Consider the following 21,514-nt stretch of genomic DNA (forward strand, 5'->3'; position numbering starts at 1 on the left):
CAAGGCTGCAGTGAGCCATGATCATGATACTGCACTCCAGCCTGGGTGAAAGAGCAAGACTCTGTCTCTAAAAACCAACCAACCAACCAACCAACCAACCAACCAACCAACCAACCAACCAGCTAACTAACCAACCAACCAACCAACCAACCAACCAACCAACCAACCAACAAACAAACAAACCAACGAACCAACAAACCAACAAACCAACAAACAAACCAAATCACTGGATTTTGAAGACCATGGTTTACAGTCTAGTTCTGCTGCCTACTAGCTCAGTGAACTTAGATGAGCCACTCAAGTTTTCTGAGAAAATAACAATAAGGATGAAAATAACAATGCTCAATTCACTGCGATTTTATGAGATTTTAAGGAGATGAAAAAGTGCTCTGTGAACTGTAAATTCCTGTGCAGCGGTCCGTCTTGTGTGGCCAGTGTTAGCCTTTAATCCCACTTCCTGGCTTCTGGTCCCTGGAACTCTCCTCTGCTCCCTGCTCCCTGGCTCCTGGGATCAGGCTGCTGGACTGTGCAGGTGTCTGATTTCCTCCTCTCAAGAAAGATTCGGGGTTTCTCAGGTCTCTCCATATGTAGCCTTTCTTCTCATCATTCTTTCAGGATTCTAATCCCAAAGGGGTGACAATAGGGGGGCAGTAGAGGGTTGACCAGATAAACGAACCTTTCCAGTCACTCATTTTAAATGGGCAACCTTTGCCAGATAACACAGTGTCTTGATCCAGGTAAAATATGTGTGTTCATTAAGAAGGCTCTCAAAGACTGAAGGTGCTGCTGGTGATGACTGGAAACTCAGGCTTGTGTGTGAAGCTTTTGGAGGAGTGATTCTGGTCAGCAGGCCCCATCACTCCCCAAGTTACACCAGGCAGTACTTGCCTGTGAGGCTCAGTGTGAATGGCACTGTCTGAAGAGAAGCCAGGGCCTGGGGGAGGGTAGGTCTTCCTGTCTTCCCCTCAACATGTGTGCCTGCACAGGCATACACAGTCTCTCTGAGGAGAATGGTCAATCCATAGAGGTTGGGCTGGGGGCAAGTCAGAGAGCTCAATTCTGAACATTTGTCAGTAAAATAATGCTGCCTCTTAAAATAGCTCAAAGATGTTTCTGTGCAAGGTGCTTTTGTGGATATCTGCCTATAAATAAATATATATATACATTATATATATATATAAAACCTATGTCTAAGCAGAAGGTATATCTTTAGCTGCACTATGTATATAAACACATATTCAAGCACATGCCCAAATATAAGTCATCATGAAACAAAAATGATTGAAGTCACATAAGTTACAATATTTATGTCCTGAGGATGGCTAAACTTAGCTACAACATCTAATTTGCAGTGACGTCTTTCTTTAACAAGTTTTATAAGAGGGATGATTTAAGTCAGGGAAGAGCAGTGACTCATTCACATGGTGGGCCAGTGGCTGAGCTATGTTTAGAATAGAAGGGATGCTAGGATCTTCTGGGGCTTAGATTTTTAACATTAAGTCATTTTGCTCTTCCACACTGTTTTTTTTTTTTTAATCATTCACTTAGGTAAAACCAGGAACTTGTAATGCAATAGTAAAATTCTCATTTTCCTTACTTAATTAGTTCACTTTATATAACTCTCTGTTTCAGGTTCTTCTTTTGAGACTCCATTCAAATAGTTTGGGCTTATTTTGGTTGTTTTGCAATTTCTGATATGAGATTTTACCAGATAGTTTTTTACCTTTCAATTTTGATAAAGGCAAAGGCCTTCAGCAATTACATATAGAAATGGAGAGACAGTTGGGAAAAGTAAGAAATTCTCTTGCCCCAAAGGGACAAAAGAGTCAATTCTTTTGCCCCAAAGGGAGGAGTTAATGATCTGAATAATACAATACTTGACATGCATTCAAAAAACATTTAAGGCCAGGCATGGTGGCTCACGCCTGTAATCCTAGCACCTGGGGAGTCCAAGATGGGCAGATCACTTGAGGTCAGGAGTTTGAGACCAGCCTGGCTAACATGGTGAAACCCCGTGTTTACTAAAAATACAAAAAAATTACCCAGGCATAGTGGTTCACGCCTGTAGTCCCAGCTACTCGGGAGGCTGAGGCAGCAGAATCGCATGAATCCAGGAGGCAGAGGTGGCGGTGGTGGAGTGAGACTCTGTCTCAGAAAACAAAAACAAAGACAAAACCAAAAACATTTAATACCTGAAGGCAGTACTAGGGCTACCAGGGAGAGAGGGATTACCCTCAAGGAGCTCACATGTTTTTCTTCTGTGAGAAAGATGGAAATGCAAACAAGTAATTACGAGGTAAGAAGAGAAAAATGAAGTTATAAAAATCGCTGTGGGAACCAGGAGGAGGGACTAACCCAAATTAAAGAGGCTGGGATCTAGACAGTGTCAGAGAGGAGCAGACTGGGGTTTATGGAAGTCAGGGTAGGAGAGCCATCCCGGGCAGCCACTAGTATGTGCAAACGCTTGCAAACAAGGTGTGTGCGGAGCAGCCAGGCCGAAATGAGTCTTCTTTGGATTTTAATAGCTAGGGCTGTTTAAATGCACAAAGCCTCCACCTGGAATTGTTCCAAGGGAGGTGGGGTGGATGGGGCAGAGGGAAGGTGTCTGGAGGCCATAACCATGTAAGATGTTAAAAATCCTTCTCTGATTCTTAAGATTTTCCAGAAATGAGGATTCAGATACTCTTGCTTCTGTTAAGGTGACGGGTAGGTCAAGACTTATGACCTAAGCGTCTAATGTACCATGGCGTAGGGTAGTGGTTCGCAATCTTGACTGCACTCTGGAATTACTTGGGGGAACTTTAAATAAATCTTAGCAGCCAGGCCAATTAATTAGAATACAAGGGTGAGGGAGGACCCAGAGACAAGTATTTTTAAAGCTCTCCAGGTGATTCCAATATACAGCTAAGATTGTGCATCAGTGGTACAGGGCAAAGTAGTTTGCAAAGTGTGGTCCCTGGACCAGCGGCATCACCTGGGACCTTATTAGAAATAAAGATTTCTGGTTCCTACCTGATGCCTACTGCATTAAGAAATCTAGAGGTGAGTCCCAACCATCTGTGTTTTAACAAGCTTTCCAGGTGAGCATGCTAAAATTGGAGAATTGTTTGTCTGAAGAGACCATTTGTTCCGATAACTTCATTTTCCTAATCGACTCAGCAACTTCAAGCTTCACTGATTTTTCAATTGCAACCGCTGCTGCCATAACCTTACCTGGCAACAAAGAGGCTCTTTTCTTTATGGCTCCCTGGTCTGGGTAAGAATCAACAATTTCTTACTTGTTCCACTTGGTCAGATTGAAATTTTCAAAAGGACCTTTACTATAGGAAAGCAAAAAGGAAACAAATGATATTCAAAAGCATAAAAACCATTGGTTGCTTAGCGTGTTGAGAACTGAACATTAACAAAAATCCTCCACTTATTAATTCATTTAAAAAAATGTGCATTGAACATCAGAGACACAAAGATAAAACTAGAAACACCCCTAACATGAAGGGGCTCAGGGTTCTCGGGAAAGACAGATATAAATAAGTGTGTGTAAAGCAACATAAGAGGTGCCACCGTGGAAACCTCTTCTTCACAGGACTCATCAACAGAGTTGGGGACAGGTTTTGTGGGATCCAAAGTTTGCTCATTTTTCTGAGGGAAGCCTTTTAAAGAAAAGAATACAAAATTATGATAAAACATTAGCTGCAGGCCTTGAAATGGGGCCTGAAGTGGCAGCTTCTTGAGCTTCCGGGTAAATGTGCCTCTGGTATCACAGTTTAGGTGGTAGCCTCCTCAGGACGGGGACTGTGTTAATCTGTCTCACCACCATATCCTCTGTGTTTAGCACAGTGACTGGTACTTAGCAGTGCCTTAATAACTATTTATCAAAAGAAAGAGTAAATCTGTTATAGTCTAAGGAGGAGACATAAACTAGTTCTGTCCTTGTTCAGCTGGAGAAACCCCCAATTGTAATTATTTTGGCTTGACGTTGGTCTCATGGAAGGCCTGGAGATATATCTTTCTTCCAGAACTCACTCTTCTCTTTGACGTGCCTTCCATGAAACCTGGACTGTCTATACTGATATTATTACCTGGTTCTGTCTTTCCCGCTAAAGCCTGGTCCATTGGGTGAGAAAGTTCTAACTTCAAGAGCCCTAATCCGAGTATTAGGTTTCTTTGCCGGAATGTCACTGAATCATCTTTCATCCATTGAGAAGCTTCTTTGCTCTGACCTCTGAAACTCTTTCACTTTCTCTTGATCTGAACCTCAAGGTAAGGTTTGATTTAGTGATGCTTATTCATCAACCAGATGACAATAGCTGGTTACGTCGACTGGTTAAGCTTGGCTTTCTCATTAGTGTCTTTGACTATAATCTGGCTCGATGTTCATATTCACCATGTGACTCAAAATGGTGAACTCCATTTGTTTCTCGCCACAGAGGATTTACGTCCATTTTTTTCTTAATTTTTTATTTTTTATTATTATGGGTACATAATAGTTGTATACATTTATGGGGTACATGTGATGTGTTGATACAGGCATACAATGTTGTAATGATCGAATCAGGGTAATTAGGGTATCCATCAACTCAAGCACTTATAATTATGTCTATATTTTTCATCCTCATTCAGAGGATGTCACCCGTATCTGCTTCTCCCCCCTGTGATTGCCTATTCAATTTCAGCATTTGGTTTAAGGAGCGTATCAATTGAGACCTCCTTTGCATAACCACGATGCATGATGTGACCCATGATGCGTGACTGAGCCCAACTTATACTCAGTGCTTTTGCTTCTGTGATTCTCCTGAGAGTTTCTCATAAAGGCTACTTGGTATGGTTTCCCATTGCACCAACTACACCTCTAAGAATATAGGTTTTTAATGGCAGGGGCATGGTTCTCTTGCAAGTTTGGGACTGTGGTCCACGGGGATCTTCATATTTGCTTCTTTGTCTTGTTGCCTTTGGGATTTCTAGATGGTTTTGCTTGAATTGCTTAAAATTTCCTCTGTTTGTCCCACTTTACATTTTTCTCTATTGTTAAACATTAATTTGTTTCTACTTTAAAAACGATTACATTCTGAGGTGCTGACAATATTCTCCTTCTTTATTTAGGTGACGGTTACATGGGTGAATTCAGTTTGTGACAATTTATTGAACTGTAGGTTTATGGAATGTGCACTTCTCTGAGAATAATACTTTAATAAAAATCTATTATTAAATATTATGAAAATGTGCACATTTGTACACAAAGAATTTGTAAAATTTAGTTTTATAAGCATAGAACTACTGGATTATAAACTTTTTAAAGGTTCTTGCTAAATTGCTTTCAAAAGAGTATATCAGTTTAAATGTCCACCATCAGCACTAAATTTTTTGGGTGTTTTTGGAGACAAAGTCTTGCTCTGTTGTCCAGGCTGGAGTGCAATGGGGCAATCATATAGCTCACTGCAGCCTCTAACTCTTGGGTCTTGCTATGTTGCCCATGCTGTTCTCAAACTCCTGGCTTCAAACTATCCTCCTGCCTTGGCCTCCCCAGGTGGTAGGATTACAGGTGTGAGCCACTGAGTCTGGCCAGTACTAAATCTTATTAGTTAAAAAAACTTTGATAATATATAAATAAAATGTACATTATTCTAATTTAAATTTCTTTAAGTATCCATACAGTTGAACATGGCCCAATTTAGAAATTTTAAATTATAAAATAATTTCTTTGTATATTTACGTATACATATATACATGCACCCTTAAAGTAGATACAAATTTGCATATATATACATATATGTAAATGTGTATGTTATCTATACCCATATACCTATTGTGGAAAAACTGGAAATGTAGAAGACTAGAAAGAAAAAATTGGGCTGGATTAACTTTAAGCTCTGAGTGCTATGACCCTAATATCAGAAATTTCGTATCTAAGGCTATATAGCTAAAGTCATGATAAGGAGGCTGGGCTCAAAACCATCTCTAATTAGAACAGCCTTATTTTTTATTCTTAAATAAAAACCTAGGTACTTTTCTTTTCAGATATGGGGGCTTGCTCTGTCACCCAGGCTGGAGTGCAGTGGCATGATCATAGCTCACTGCAGCCTCAAATTCCTGAGCTCAGGCAATCCTCCCACCTCAGCCTCCTGAGTAGATAGGACTACAGGCATGTACCACCATCCCCAGCTAAGTTTGTATTTTTTACTTTTTTTAGAGATAGGGTCTCATTATGTCACCCAGACTTCTGGACACATTTTAATCTAATTGAAAGCCATCCTGAACGAGTGGATCCTATTATTATGTGTCTATAAGTTATATCTACAAATAATTACTGCTCTAAAGATAAACAGATTCTCTTAGATAGAATTCCTCTATCTAGAATACCAGAGCTTTGGGAGGCTGAGGCGGGAGGATCAACTGAGGCCAAGAGTTTGAGACTCTGTCTCTTCAAAAAAAATTTAATTAGCTGATTGGAAGGCATGTGCATGTAGTCCTACCTACTCAGAAGGCTGAGTGGAGAGGATCACTTGAGCCCAAGAATTTGAGGCTGCAGTGAGCTATGATAGTGCCACTGCACTCCAGCCTGGGTGACAGAGCAAGATCTTGTCTTTAAAATAAATAAATGAAAAGTGCAATACAATTATAAAAAAAGAATTCCATTAAACACTCAATGATGAAATTTTACTTATACTTTTAGTTGTATCTCACTGAAAAGGTTACAGTTTCTTTGTTATTTTGAGCACCTCAGAAAGCCTTGCTTGTTCTTGCACATTCTGAATATTGTTTGGGGAACATTTCATTTTGGAACAAGCAACAATGGAAAGTCTGATGACTCTAATTCAGGAGTGTTTGCGTCCCAGGAGGCTCATCTTATCCCAAAATGTATCACTGTGTTTACACTTTCCAACTCTAGTTGTTCTCCATCTTTCATACAGAAAAACAAAATGCCTATTGCTCCCTCTCAAAGTCTCAGAGAATACTAATGCTATGTGTGTCAAGCCTTGCTAAGACTGGAACATTTCTCCACCAAGTGTTTATTTCTAACCAAGCTTTTAATGTCAGTCCTTGGGCCAGTTAACACCAGCCTATCTTAGGTTGGCTCCCCAGACGCAGACCCTGGAAAAAGGATTCTTGGAAGATGATGTACTTATTAGGAAGTGTCCCTTGTAAGGTTTTAGGAAGTGTGACTTGGAAGGGAGCGAAGCCAAGCAAGGGCACAGTGTGAAGTAAAGTCCTACAAAGAGGAACACCTGGAGTTCGACTCTTTTGGGTTGCCCAGCGGAGCAGTTTTCACTCTGCACCTGTCAGTCATAGGTTAAGGGGTCTCCTTCCACCCCTCACAACCTCTGACATAGATTCCCAGGCATTTGTGACAATTTCTGCAGGCAGCAAAGTGGATTGACAAAGGAGACACAAATGCTTGCAACTGGGAATCAAAGTGCACTGGGAGCTAGTGAGCATGAAAACGGTAATGGGATTTGAAGACAAATGAGAGGGTCATGGACAGCCTCTGCTGCATCAGCCTGCAGATCACATGTGAGGGAAAGGAGCTGGGAAGTGGATGTTTTCATTCAGATAAGCTGACTCTCCATAGCTTTAGTTCCACAATCTCTAGAGGCCACTATTTCCCATTGCCATCACAGACAACATCTGGGAGGACTTTCGGGTGTGGGAGGGAAGTAATGACAATGATAATATAATTGAAGCTCATATTTATGTTATATGACAGGTTCAGCTAAGTGCTTGGCACATATTTCTTCATTTGCTGAAGCCCATAAAGTTTTAAGTAGCTTCTTCCAGGTCATTCAATTAGGTAGTGGCAGAGCTGGGTCTTAAGTGGTGGACTGAGAGGAAGTTCATGTTCTTAGTCTCTGTGCAGAGCTGCTCCTGACACATCCTCAGAGGCCTGTGAATCAGGGCTCTGCATTTGTCCTGCAAGGGAGAGGATCCAGAGGACAGGATTTCTAATAACAATGAGGACACAATTCTTTCTTAGGGCACCATTTCCTTAACAACACTTACCATGACTTGTAATTCTACGTATTTTTGTTTACTTGTCTGTGGTCTCAGTTGCCTCAGTGTGTCAGCTACATGAGGGCAGAGATCAAGCTGCTAGGTCACCAAGGATCAGTGTGTCAGGAGTCAGTGAGTGGACAGCTCAGCCTCTCCCTCCTACTCCCAGACTGTGATCAACTGTAGGGACAGGCTCCTTCCTCTATTTACCTAAGTAAATTTGAAGATTAGATTTTCTATGTAATGGCTATATGAACCAGGCCACGTTATTTATTTAGTTTTCTTGAGACAGGGTCTCACTCTTTCACCCAGGCTGGAGTGCAGTGGTGCGGTCACAGCTCACTGTTATCTCCAACTCCTGGGGTCAAGTGATGTTCCCACCTCAGCCCCTGAGTTGCTGGGATTACAGGTGCACCCTCCCATGCCTGGCTAATTAACCTTTTTTTTTTTTTTTTTTTTTTTTTTTTTGTAGAGAGTGGGTCTCACTATGTTGTCCAGGCTGGTCTCATACTCCTGGCCTCAAGGGATCCTCCCTCCTCAGCCTCCCAAAGTGCTGGGATTATAGGCATGAGCCACTGAGCGTGGCCCCTGGACACATTATTTAATCTCTTTGAGCATAATTTTTCCTGGTGAAAAGTGGGGATAGTTGTACTTACTTCAAAAGGTGTTGAAATGACTCAATGTGATAATTATAGAGAGGGCCTGGCTTATAATAGGACACACTGAATGTCCACATTGAATGGGAAAAAACACGACTGCTGTGAGGGAGGCTGGAAGAGGGGCTTTGTCATTTTCCCTTTGAATTAGAACCAGAGATTCAGACTTTACAAAGGGCTCTTGGCTTTGTGTCCCACAAGCTTTTTTGTGCCTGGATTGTGGGTCAGGCCTAGGTAGGCTGTGCACGTGTCTGAGCCCCATGTGGAGCCACAGGGCTCGGGTGCCCTAGCTGCACTGAGAGTTGACAGAGCCCCACCCACCGCCATTCGTCGGATAGATGGGTTTCACTGAGTGTGTCGTACCTCAGCCACATGACTTAGATCCTGGAGAGAAGCAGGTTCCTGAAGGCACTTCCATTAACCACTTAATACGCTTAGGAGCCAGTAACACTGGCAGCATCAGGTTATTAACCAGAAAGTATTTCTCAAGTAGGTTGAAACATATTTGTTTCCCTACTCTTCCTGTCCATTCAGAGCAGATGCCTGTTGTCATGGTAACAGAAACAAGAGCAAGTAAGAGTTTTTGAGTGCCCTAAACGCTTTTGTGCAAGAAGAAGGGTGAGGTTGATCTGAAATGTGGACTTGAAATATCATTTTCATCTCCCTCTATATATAGAGGGCAGATGTCATGATTGTTTCTGAATCCATTCCCTCAAAATAAGCACATTCTGTTACTGTATTTGAAGATTAAAGGAAAGAGAACGGGAGATGGAGAGAAAAGAGGTTCTCCTTTTTCCCTCTTGCATTTTCCTAAACTATTTCATCCAGGGATATGCTTCTGGAAACCTTTTCCCTCTCTCTTGGGCACAGGGATTCTTAATAAACACACTTACCAGTTTTGAGAAAATTTATAACTTTTTCTCCTTGTGGTCTCTGCATTTAAAAAATATGTAGGCTAGGTTCTTTCTTTTTTTAAACATAGATCTGATTTAACTAAACAAACAAATAAACAAAAAATATTGGATTTGGTTTGGAGTTTGATAAAGAGTGAATTTTACTTATTTTTTTTCTGTCTGATTCAAAGTATGTTCCCTGTTCTAGGAATCTCTCCTTCAGTCTAGACCCCTTTTGCCCCCTTTCAGCGATGAGGTTCATATCTTGTGCCTTCTCGGTTCTGTCCCTTTCCTTTTCAAGCTGCACAGACACACCGGATAGTCCTTTATACAGCACACTCCTGGCACAGTGTGCACCTCATGGGTTCCACTCTCGTGCTTCACCCATCTCCCTTTGCAGTCTCTAGGACTCAGCTCACTTCCCTCAGTCCCATCATGGAGTTTAGACTTCCTGATTCCAAGTTATCCCCTCAATCCTGTGTGTGAACTCCTGTGTGTGTCTGTTGTGGGTTTGTGTGTATGCGTGCATGCACATGTGTGCTGAAAGACATCAGTCCCCCTATTGGTCATCTCTATGACCAATAAAATAAGAGATTGCCACAGGAAACCTAAGGTTGGATACCTGAGGCTAAGGTGGGGCTGGGCAAAGATAAGAACTAGAGGGCCTAAGACCAAGAGGAGGTGGAGCTTGGGAGAGGACTGTGGTGCTGGAGGCAGGAGAGCTCAGTGGCAGAGACCAGGCACTGTGCAGGCTTCTGAGCCTGCTGGCACCCAGGATTCTATCCTTTCCAGCTGTGGAAACTTGGACAATTTATTGAACTTCTTTAAGCTTCAGGTTCCTCATCTGTAAGATAAAATAATTTTAGTACCTACCTGATATGGTTTGGCTGTGTCCTCACCCAAATCTCATCTTGAACTGTAGCTCCCACAATTCCCATATGTGGTGCGACGGACCTGGTGGGAGATAATTGAATCATGGGGGTGGTTTCCCTCTACTGTTCCCATAGTAGTGAATAAGTCTCACCAGATCTAATAGTTTGATAATAGGTTTCTCCTTCCTTGGCTCCCATTCTCTCTTGCCTGCTGCCATGTAGGACGTGCCTTTAACCTTCTGCCATGATTGTGAGGCCTCCTCAGCCATGTGGAACTATGAGTCCATTAAATCTTTTTTCTTAATAGATTACCTAGCCTTGGGTATGTCTTTATCAGCAGCATGAAAACGGACTAATACACTACTGTAGAGTTTTTTGAGTATTAGTTGAAATAACATGCATACAAATTACCTGGTGTTGTACCTGGCCCATGCTTAATGCTCAATATTATTATTATTTGTTAACAGTACTACCCCTGTAGATTAACTTTGTCAATTTGTATAGGCTGCCTTTCAAGAGAAACTGTTTGTCTGGACCAAGTACCTCTCTTGGTAAAGTTTGAGAGCATAAGAAATTTCAAAGGTTTAAATAGGCAGTTCTTAACTTGTGATACTTTATTAAGCACTTGTGGTATATTTGGATTTTTGAAGTTCAAGAAAAAAATTGAGAAAAAATGCTTAACATTTGCAAAAACAAGGGACATGAGTATAAATAAAGGTTCACAAATCATAGATCTAAATACTGATAAATCATACATCAAGCTACCAAAATGTAACTCTGTTGTAACTTCCCATCTTGACACATACATCTTCATGACAACCTGGAAGGCAGCTTTGAATTGAGAATTTTTGGACTCCTTGGCAGTCTGTACAGGAATGTGGTGGCACAGCGAGAGCAAGCGCTGGTCCTCGGCCTGAGGCCAGCCCCTTCCCTCCCCATCCCCGGCTCTGTCTTGCATGCAGTGGTGTGGGCCTCCCTCCCTCTCGTGCAGACCACTTCTCAGGCCTAGTGGGGAGCACTCTAGTCATGGGCTCCACCCTCTGGAGGAAGGACCCTGGAAGTGGTGTTGCACAGGCTCCAAAAGCAGGTTTGGGGTCGTTTGACCTGGAAATCCTGGGGTCCTAGATACTCAAAGCATGGTCTAGGAGAGGGTGTGGGCTTCAGGCCCTGTGGGCTCCCCATGAGGAGGGTTACAGCTGGACAAGCACCAGAGTTGTGACAACTCTTGCCTGGGCCTAATGGACACAATTTCCTACCTCTACTGATGGAAAAGAAGTCTGGTAAACTTAACTTAAACATTAAAAAATTCCTGTACAAACATAATGAAGGGCCGATGAAAGCACATTAATAGTCTGTATTTAACAAATAAGTCTAGTTATGCATTACCATAATTTTATTCTGGTAGCAGAGTTGCTTTTGTAGTATCAGTATCTCAGTGCTCACTTATGGTTTAATAAAGCATATTTAGAATCAATACCATATGTTGCAGAATTAATTAAAAACATCATTTGTATTTCTGCTGTCTAAAACATGAGTCACAGATTCACAGATTTTAACAGTTCATTCATTCATGCCACAAATATTGGGTGCCTATTCAATAAGTACTTGCCAGGTACTGTGCAAGGCACTCTACATACTATCAGTAAAATAGAGAATGACTAGATCTGCATTTTATAAACAACTGACACAGGCATTAAGTTGGAAATTCAGGCTCAGAGATGGGAAAGTGTAGGAGTTTTCTGGAGATTATGAGGGTAAATATCTGCTTAGGAAATATTTCTTGATTTATAATATGTTCTTATTTTTCAACAATAGCACTTTATTTGCACTTGCTTAAAAATGTGAATTAGGAAATTTAGAAGCATTCTTCTTAAAAATGGCTCTTCTCTGTGGATCCCAAAACCTGACCATCTGAACTTGTCTTTTGTCTCTCTGGGTCATGTTTTAAGCGTGTAGACCTGGGATGACCTGACTGCGTGATGCTGGGGCACAAGGTGTGGAGGGGTGGATATATAATGGTGGTCTTATCGCAGGCATTTAGGTGAATGTCAGTGTCTCTCTCCAGAGATGAAGGAACTGGGATATGGCAGTAACTTTGAGGGTGGATCTTTTTATTTTTATTTTTAATGTTTGTGGGTACATAGTAAGTGTATATATTTATGGGGTACATGAAATGTTTTGATAAGGGCATGCAATGTCAAATAGTACATCATGAAGAATGGGGTATCCATCCCCTCAAGCATTTATCCTTTGATTTACAAACAACCCTATTATACTCTTTCAGTTATTTTATTTTATTTTTAATTTTTTTGAGATGGAGTTTTGCTCTTGTTGCCTAGGCTGGATTGCAATGGCACGGTCTTGGCTCACTGCAACCTCCGTCTCTTGGGTTCAAGCAATTCTTCTGCCTCAGCCTCCCAAGTAGCTGGGATTACAGGTGCCCACCACCATGCCTGGCTAATTTTTGTATTTTTAGTAGAGACGGGGTTTTACCATGTTGGCCAGGCTGCTCTCGAATGCCTAACCTCAGGTGATCCGCCCACCTAGGCCTCCCAAAGTGCTGGGATTACAGGCACAAGCCACTATGCCTGGCCTCTTTATTTAAAAATGTACAGTTAAGTTATTGTTGACTATAGTCACCCTGTTGTGCTATCAAATAGTGGGTCTCATTTATTCTTTCTAAGTATTTTATTTTTTTACCTATTACACCCCCTGAGGGCGGATCTTAATGCTTGACACTTAGATGATGCTCAATAAAAGTTGGTAGGGTATTGTAACCCCACATTCTGCCAGAGATTCTATCATCAAGGTTTAGTCCTTTATTTACAGTGGGATCAGACCGCCAACATTCTAATGATCACAAATCTAGTTCCTGCTTTGTTTTTACTTTGTGGTTGTGCATGCATATGGAAAGCATTGGAAATGAGAAGAAAGAAATAGTCTTAAAACGAGTATTTGGAGCTGAATAAGGAACTGAGTATGGACTCTCATAGAAATCATAGTCGTATATTCTATCCACGTTGGAATTTTTACACCACTTATTTGCCATGAGTTTTTGGATAGCATTTTGGTGTGACATTTGAAATATTACCTGCATAAATGTACGCCTGTAGTTTACTGAAATCCTGTTAATCTAGATGTAAGAGAAAAAGGCCTGAAGATATGACCACCTAGGGGATCAAGGAATGCGACTCAATGACATCATCCTTAAAGCATCTCCTAGGAGTGAGGAGTCAGATGGGTGAGGTTCTTGCATCACAGGGAGTAGCCACCTTCTTTAAAAAGTGCCAGTCTCCCCACAGTGCTAGAATTCTTTCATTTCTTTGGGCACACAGGCTGAAATCCATATTTCATCTATTAGGAATATATGTGGATAAATAAGTTCTGCTTTAAAAATACGACTACTCTGGAAAATTGATCTTAGAAAGAACACTTTCAACCCTATCACTTTCTTTCTGATACCTTGCAGAAGTCATCCACACTGAAAAAGGGAAGTTTGGTGGGAGACAGGGAGGGATGTTGGCCTCTTGGTGAGAGAGAGAGAAAAGCAGGCCCAGGAAGGGTACTCAGTGCAGGATTCTGGGATGGACCAGGATGACTTAAGGGAGATGAAAGGAGAGAAGGGGAGAAAAAGAGAGGCAGGAGGGCACTACAATTTTTCCAATTTTGCTATTTTGTCACAAACCAAATTATCTAAAAGTGTTGAACGTATTCAATACTTTTTTTTTTCCCAGTAGAGGAAGCATATGAATGAAATAGAATATTATAGATCATCTAAAGCAGTCACAATTCTCTGTGTGTAAATCAAAACGACGACAACAACAACAACAAAACTTATTCGGAGTGTTGGTTACAGTGGTCTCATTTAGGTAAAGAACAGGGTAAGCACCAAGAAGATCCCACGGCTATACCCAAGGCCACTCAGCTAACTGGGCCAGACAGGACCTGGATCCCTGTTCCTGTCCTTGGCTGGGCAGCCTTTTCTCTCCATCACCCTGAGTCTTTGCCATTTAAATGGGGTTCCTGGAGTGCATACACTCAATGTCTGTGAGTCATGTGTGTATATTTAAGGTAGTAGCAACTGCACTCTCTTATGGTTGAAGAGGATCTTTCAGATACTGAGAGTTATTTTAAATCCTTGAGAGGGAATGGTTCATAAGAGAAGAGTTTTATTTTCAAGCACACATCATGTGATGAGCCAAGATGGGACAAGTGCCTCTATAACTTCCTATTCAGTGAATAACTTCCGGGAACTACTGCAAACGTTGAACCTTGCAGAGGGTTTCAAACTTTGGGAAAGTAATTTTCTAGCCTTCCCAAACTATTTTTGTGTGTGTGAGAACTCGGGACTGAAGTTTTTTAAAAATAAGCACTAAATTGCAGTAATTTGAAGCAAGACGCAGTGGAAAGAGCATTACAGACCTTGGCAGACAGACCCAGCTTTAAGGCATGGCTGCATTGCTCACTTGCTGCATGAGCTTGGGCAAGTCTCTTACAGTTTCTGAGCCTCAGCTTTCTCACCTGTAAATGCGGATGGTGGATGCTATTTCATAGCCTTACTGTGAGAATAGAGATAGGGTACGTAATATACATAGCACAGTGCCTGGCACTTAGTAAATGCTCAACAAATGTTCACCCGCTAGCCTCCTTTTCTCCTTTTCTTCAGGTGGTTGCAGCACAGAGTAAAAGGAAGAGTTTGCAGTTACTTCGTGAATTTGAGAATGCACCATGTTTTGAACTATTGAACAGTTTTTTAGAAAACAACTTTTAGAATGAAGCATAACATAATAAAGAAAAGTGTGCAAAGCATAAGTCTACAATTCAGTGCATAGTCTCCAAGTGCTCAGATCCATTTAGCCAGGACCCAGATGAAGAAATGAGCAGCGCCCCAAAAGGCCCTCTTCCACTGACTTCCAAGAAGATAGGTTGTTCTCTCTTTTTTTTGAACTTTATATGTAATCCTTCGAATGTGCTCATTTATATGAGGTTTCCTTCATTCCGCGTTGTATCTGTGAGTTTCACCGGTGTTGTTGCAGGTAACCATAGTTTGTTCTGAATCATTGAATTTTCAAGCTTTTAGAGATCCTAGAGCTTTTCCAGTCTATCCCTCTCCATTGACCAAAACAGGAAAGAGAGGGTCAGAGATGTTAAGTGATTTGACTAGTTAATAGCAGAGATGTAATTAGATCCCAAGTCTTCCAATGTCTAGCCCAGGGCTCCTTCCTGAAGTAGCTGTAGCAGTAGCCTACACAGTTTAAATCCACAGTTCAATTATTATTTAATTTTGGCATTCTCTGTCAGGGTGAAAAAGAAGAGATGCAGGGAAACCATTGTTGGCTACATGTGGATATGTACAAATTCCAGAGTTGGTGATTCACTGACATCTTCAGATCTGATTCTCTCATGTGAATCTCCTTTGCTAGACTGATCTTTGTTCTCAAGGTGTGAACCACGTGTCCCTCTTAGGGCATCAGGGTCAGGAACAGACAGTTAGAAATATCTATACCTAAATCTTCCTGTATTAATAAGATGTTATCCTAATTTTCAAAACTTCTAGAATTCTATAATTACGATTGCTTTTTATAGACATGAATTGAATCTACCCATCTAATTCTTTGAATCTGCCATGTACAGTTTAAAGCTAACTTATTTTTATTTAAGCCTAAAAGTTTTTTGACATTTCTTTATAATGCCATATAATTTCATATTTATAACACCATATATTATATAGTATGCACACATCAGTATCATTCAGGATGCCCCGAATTTGAAGCATTCTTCTAGAGGCTCACCATTCTTAATGCAGCTCCCCAAACCTGCCATCGTGCCCACAACCCTACAATTACACTTATCCAACTAGGTTCAAGCAGTATTTAAAAGTCAATGCTAAGGTTCCTATGTGCTGGCCGGGCGCGGTGGCTCATGCCTGTAATCCCAGCACTTTGGGAGGTTGAGGCGGGTGGATCACTTGAGGTCAGGAGTCCGAGACCAGCCTGGCCAACATGGTGAAACTCCGTCTCTACCAAAAACACAAAAATTAGCCAGGTGTGGTGGTGAGCACCTGTAATCCCAGCTACTCAGGTGACTGAGGCAGGAGAATCGCTTGAACCCAGGAGGTGGAGGTTGGAGTGAGCTGAGATCGTGCTATATCTATAAAGTTTCTATACGTTGACTGTGAATGGCATGCTTTGTGTCATCAGTACACTTTGCTGCTATAACTTAGAGAGGACAGATCCATTTGATTGGCATGGGGAAGGAAAGGGAATTTCCAGTTGGAAGCTGCAGTGTGGTGGAGGAAGGACAGTTTTCTCCGAGCAACAAAATAGACTAGACTGCATTTCTTATAACACAAAATTCCATTCAAAACCAGTTCCCCTTCTTTAATCACTGTCATTCCTTAATAGAGAAAAAGGTCATGAATCCTATGTGCTATGGAAAGTGTGGCAGTGAGAAGAACAGCCAGAAGGACCTTAATTCCCCCCACTCATTAGTAGTTGAAAGCCTGGCCCCTGGAGTTGGAATGTTGGTTCTTCCATTTACTCACTGTTACCTTGGGCAAGTTATTTAATTCTCTATGCCTCAGCTTTCTTACCTAAAAATTCCTCATGGGATTTTTCTGAGGTTTAAATACGTTACTTTATGTGAAGTGTTTGAAACAGTACAGTAAACAGTAATCATAATAAAAATTATTCCATCTAAATAAAAATACCTCTCCCCCTAAAAATAGAAGCAAAGGAAAGGAATAGCTTCTACTGGGCTCTAAATATATAATTTGATTTACTTGATTACATAGTAAAGTAAAATTGGGTGTCAGTTCTGTTTTACCTTCAGGTTTAGTGGGCTAGAAATATGCCTTCTACCAGAATAACAAAATTTAATTTTACTATAACAAAATACAGCTATGCATCGCTTAATGACAGGGATATGTTCTGAGAAATGCATCGTTGGGAGATTTCGTCATTGTGTGAACATCAATATGCTTACACAGGCCCAGAGGCTAGAGCCTACCTGACACCTAGGCTGTGTGGTATGGTCTACAGCTCCTAAGTTATAAATTTGTACAGCGTTTTCGCCTACTGAATACTGTAAGCAACTGCAACACAATGGTAAGTATTTGCGCATCTAAACATAGAAAAGGTACAGTAAAAAATACCATATTATTATAATCTTATGGAACTCCTATTGTATATTCAGTCTGTCTTGCACAGCCCATGACTGTAATAGGGAAACCTTGGAGGGCCTTACCTCAAGATATGTTGGTTTTGGCCTTTATTTATGTGTTTTATTCAAGAGGCATTTAGTAGCTGTGTGCCCTTGAGCAAGTTACTTCACTTTCCTGAATCTCAGTTTCTTTATCTGCAAAATGGCAATAGCAATATTTACCTTGAAGGGTTATAATTGGGCCTAAGTGAAATGATACATGCAAAACACTCAGTTATCAAGCATTTATTGAGCTTATACTGTGAGCACAGTCTGGCTTCAACAACAATTTTCCTGATGATGTTGAACATAAAAACATTCGAATGTATTTAAAGTATGTCTGTGAAGGTATGTAAACATATATACTAATTCAAACATTTTTAAATATCTAGATGAAGTCTCACTGTGTTGCCCAGGGTGGTCTCAAACTCCTGGGCTCAAGTGATCCTCCCACCTCAGCCTCCCAAAGTTCTGGATTATTGGCGTGAGCCACCGTGCCCAGCCAAAAGATATATTCTGGCTTTGGAGGGCAGCTCTGATTTTTACATACTCTGCCCCATTGTCTAACCCTGATGTGTCCTTATTTTTAATTCAAAAACCTTTTACCACATGTGAATTACTGCTTAACCAAAGGATAGTTTTATATACCACTCTTAATTGTTTGAGTAATTAGCTCAAACTGTTCTGGGAATATCTTGAACTTGGTAGATTGGATCAGGGAACAAGAGGCTATTGAGCTAGCAACCCAGACTGTGGAAATGACCTCCGAAGAATTATCAAGTAAAATATGTACACACACACACACACACACACACACACACACACACACTAGTTACTAGTTATATAGAAGAAAGAGACTTTAGAGTAGTCCAGTCTATCTGAAATTTACTTTACGGCTCTGGGTAAGTCTAACCATAGTCCTAGGTTTTTAGCTTTCCACCTATAATTCAATGATAAGAGTATTATTGTTGTGAGGATAACTTGGTAAAATGAATGGAGTACTCTATGAACCCGGAGGGGAAAAAGTTGTAAAGATCACAGCAAGTTTAAAAAAAATTACTTTAAAAATTTACTATAAGAATGCATTGGATTCTGGAAACACCTAATTTGGACTTTGGGTTATATCCTAAGAATTATCAAATGAACAGTAGACCTACTTGATAAAACTAGAAACACTTTATTACTCTGGGCAGTGAGCAGTGAATCACAGTGTCTTGCTTTATTCCCCAAGTGCTTGTGGTTTAAGCAAAATTGTTAACACTGTGCGAAGTTCATGGCCTTCTGCCAATGCCATTGTACAGTCCCTGAGAGAAAAAAGGAGAAAGCTCCTTGGGATAATAAGGTTAGTAAGACAGGCACATCACCAGGCAAGCAAAACAATTTAGTCACCTGCTTCAACAAACACTTAGAGGAGTGGTTCTATGATTTTGTTCTCCCCATTCCCATCTCTTTGCTATAGCTCTCTACCCAGCAACTCTGCTTCCAGTAGGGGTGAAAAGGATTTTTCTGGAGCTGGAGAAAACTTAGAGACCTTTTCTGTCTCCTGCATCTACACCCCTGGACTCACCATAGCCTACCGCATCTGCTTTTGTGTACTTCTGCCGTGGGCCCTGTATTAGTTTGCTCTTGCTGTTTAACAAGTTACTCCAAACTTACGTTTACTATCTTGCAGTTTCTGTGGGCTAGGGGTCTATGCGCAGCTTGGCTGGTCCTCTGCTCAGGATCTCATGAGCCTGTAATCAAGGTATCTTTCGGGCTGTTTTCATCCGGAGCTCTGAGACCTCTTCTAAGGTCATTGGTTGTTGGCAGAATTCATGTTTGTGTGGTTGCAGAGCTGAGGCCTCCCAGGGGCAGCCCACTGTTCTCTGCCACATGGCCCTCAACAGGTGGTGTATTTCTTCAAGGCCAATAGGAGGTGTCTGCTGCTGCTTTGATTCTTTTTATTTCCTTTTTTAAAAAAACTTTTAAATATTTAAAGATGTCTCAGTTTAATTAATTTCTTTATTTTTAGATTCAGTGGGTACATGTGCAGGTTTGTTAGATGGGCAATGTGTGCTGCTGAGGTTTGGGCTTCTAGTGAACCTGTTGCCCAGGTAGTGGACATAATACCCAATAGGTAGTTTTTCAACCCTTACCTCTCTTCCTGGTTCCCTCCTTTTCAAATCCCCAGGGTTTATTGTTCCCATTTTTATGCTCCCTGATTTTCTAATGGCTCATCTGATTAGGTTATACCCACCTAGGATAATCCCCCTAGTTTAAAGTCAACTGATTCGGGAATATTTACATCTGTGAAATCCTTTTACAGAAATACCTAGAAAATGTGTATAGCAGGGGGTAGGAATCTGAGGCTGTCTTAGAATTCTCATACCACAGGCTCCCTGTTGAAGTCTATTCTACTTGCAATGACCCCCTTTCTCAGAGAATGCTCTATTACCAGTATCCATGTTGATGATATCCTTGGCCTCAGATAATTGGGTCCCAGATAGTTCATGGTGTGACCTGTCCCTTGAAGTAGTAAGGGAAAGGTAGAGGTCTTTATTTTCTGGAATTGCCCCTGTTTCTCCTTACATTACTATAAACTCCCATTCAAAAATATTTGATTCTCTTTGCATGTGAGCATTAGCACTTTTAACTTCTTTTTTATTTATTATATTTTTTTGAGACACAGTCTCACTCTGTCACCTGGGCTGGAGTGCAGTGGTGCGATCTCCACTCCTGGGTTCAAGTGATTCTCCTGCCTCAGCCTCCTGAATAGCTGGGATTATAGGCATGCCCCACCATGCCTGGCCACATTTTTAATTTCATAGTTTGAAAAAACTGGAGGAATCCACTCAGGGTTATTTTATATTTAAAAGTAACAGTTTATTACCAAGTGGTGTCCCAGTAACACAGAGCATTAACATCTTCTATTAAAAAGGCTCATTTATTCCTAGAAGTAGGTTATGCACCAGGACAATCTGGTATATCTTCAGGAGCAGCTTCTTATACTCCTGCTCCTGAAGCAGGAGGCCTTTTATTGGAAGCCTTTTATTTCCTTCTCTTGCCTGATTGCCCTGGCTAGGACTTGCAGTGCTCTGTTTTTTTTTTTTAAATTAATTAATTAATTAATTAATTTTTTATTTGAGACAGTCTTTCTCTGTTGCCCAGGCTGGAGTACAGTGGCACCATCCTGGCTCACTGCAACCTCTGCCTCCTGGGTTCAAGCTATTCTCTTGCCTCAGCTTCCTGAGTAGCTGGGATTACAAGCATGTGCTACCATGCCCATACTAACTTTTGTATTTTTAGTACAGATGGGGTTTTGCCATGTTGGCCAGGCTGGTCTCAAACTCTTGGCCTCAAGTGATCCACCTGCTCTGCCTCCCTGAGTGCTGGGATTATAGGCGTAAGCCACGGCGCTTGGCCTTGCAGTGTTGTGTTGAATAGGAGTTGTGAAAGTGGGCAACCTTGTCATGTTCCAGTTTTTAGAGAAAAGGCTTTCAGCTTTCCTTGTTCAGTATGTTAGCTGTGGGTTTGTCATATATGGCTATTATTATGTTGAAGTATGTATCTTCTATGCCTAGTTTGTTGAGAGTTGTCATCATGAAGGGATGTTGAATTTTATCAAATGCTTTTCCTGTACCTATTGAGATGATCATATGACTCTTGTCCTTCATTCTGTTGAAGAGATTTATCACATTTATTGATTTGCATATGTTGAGCCATCCTTTCATCCCTGGGATAAATCCCCCTTGATCATGGCATATTATCTTTTTAATGTGCTGCTGAATCCAATTTGCTAGTGTTTTGTTGATAATTTTTTGTATCTATGTTTATCAGGGATATTGGCCTGTAGTTTTCTTTGTGTGTGTGTGTGTGTGTGTGTGTGTGTGTGTATGTGTGTGTGTGTGTGTCCTTATCTGGTTTTGGT

General features: G+C 41.1%; 1 long non-coding RNA gene across 1 annotated transcript; it reads right to left on the reverse strand.

Annotated features, from left to right (window-relative positions):
• Window positions 1–341: 341 nt before the first annotated feature.
• LINC01904 (long intergenic non-protein coding RNA 1904) lies at window positions 342–2,252 on the reverse strand. Its single transcript, NR_146724.1, has 2 exons — window positions 2,193–2,252; window positions 342–1,142 (listed from the first exon to the last, which is right to left on the reverse strand). It is a non-coding gene; the product is annotated as a long intergenic non-protein coding RNA 1904 (long non-coding RNA).
• Between the last annotated feature and the right edge of the window lie 19,262 nt (window positions 2,253–21,514).

Source organism: Homo sapiens, chromosome 18, assembly GCF_000001405.40.
Source record: "Homo sapiens chromosome 18, GRCh38.p14 Primary Assembly".
Classification (NCBI taxonomy): domain Eukaryota; kingdom Metazoa; phylum Chordata; class Mammalia; order Primates; family Hominidae; genus Homo; species Homo sapiens.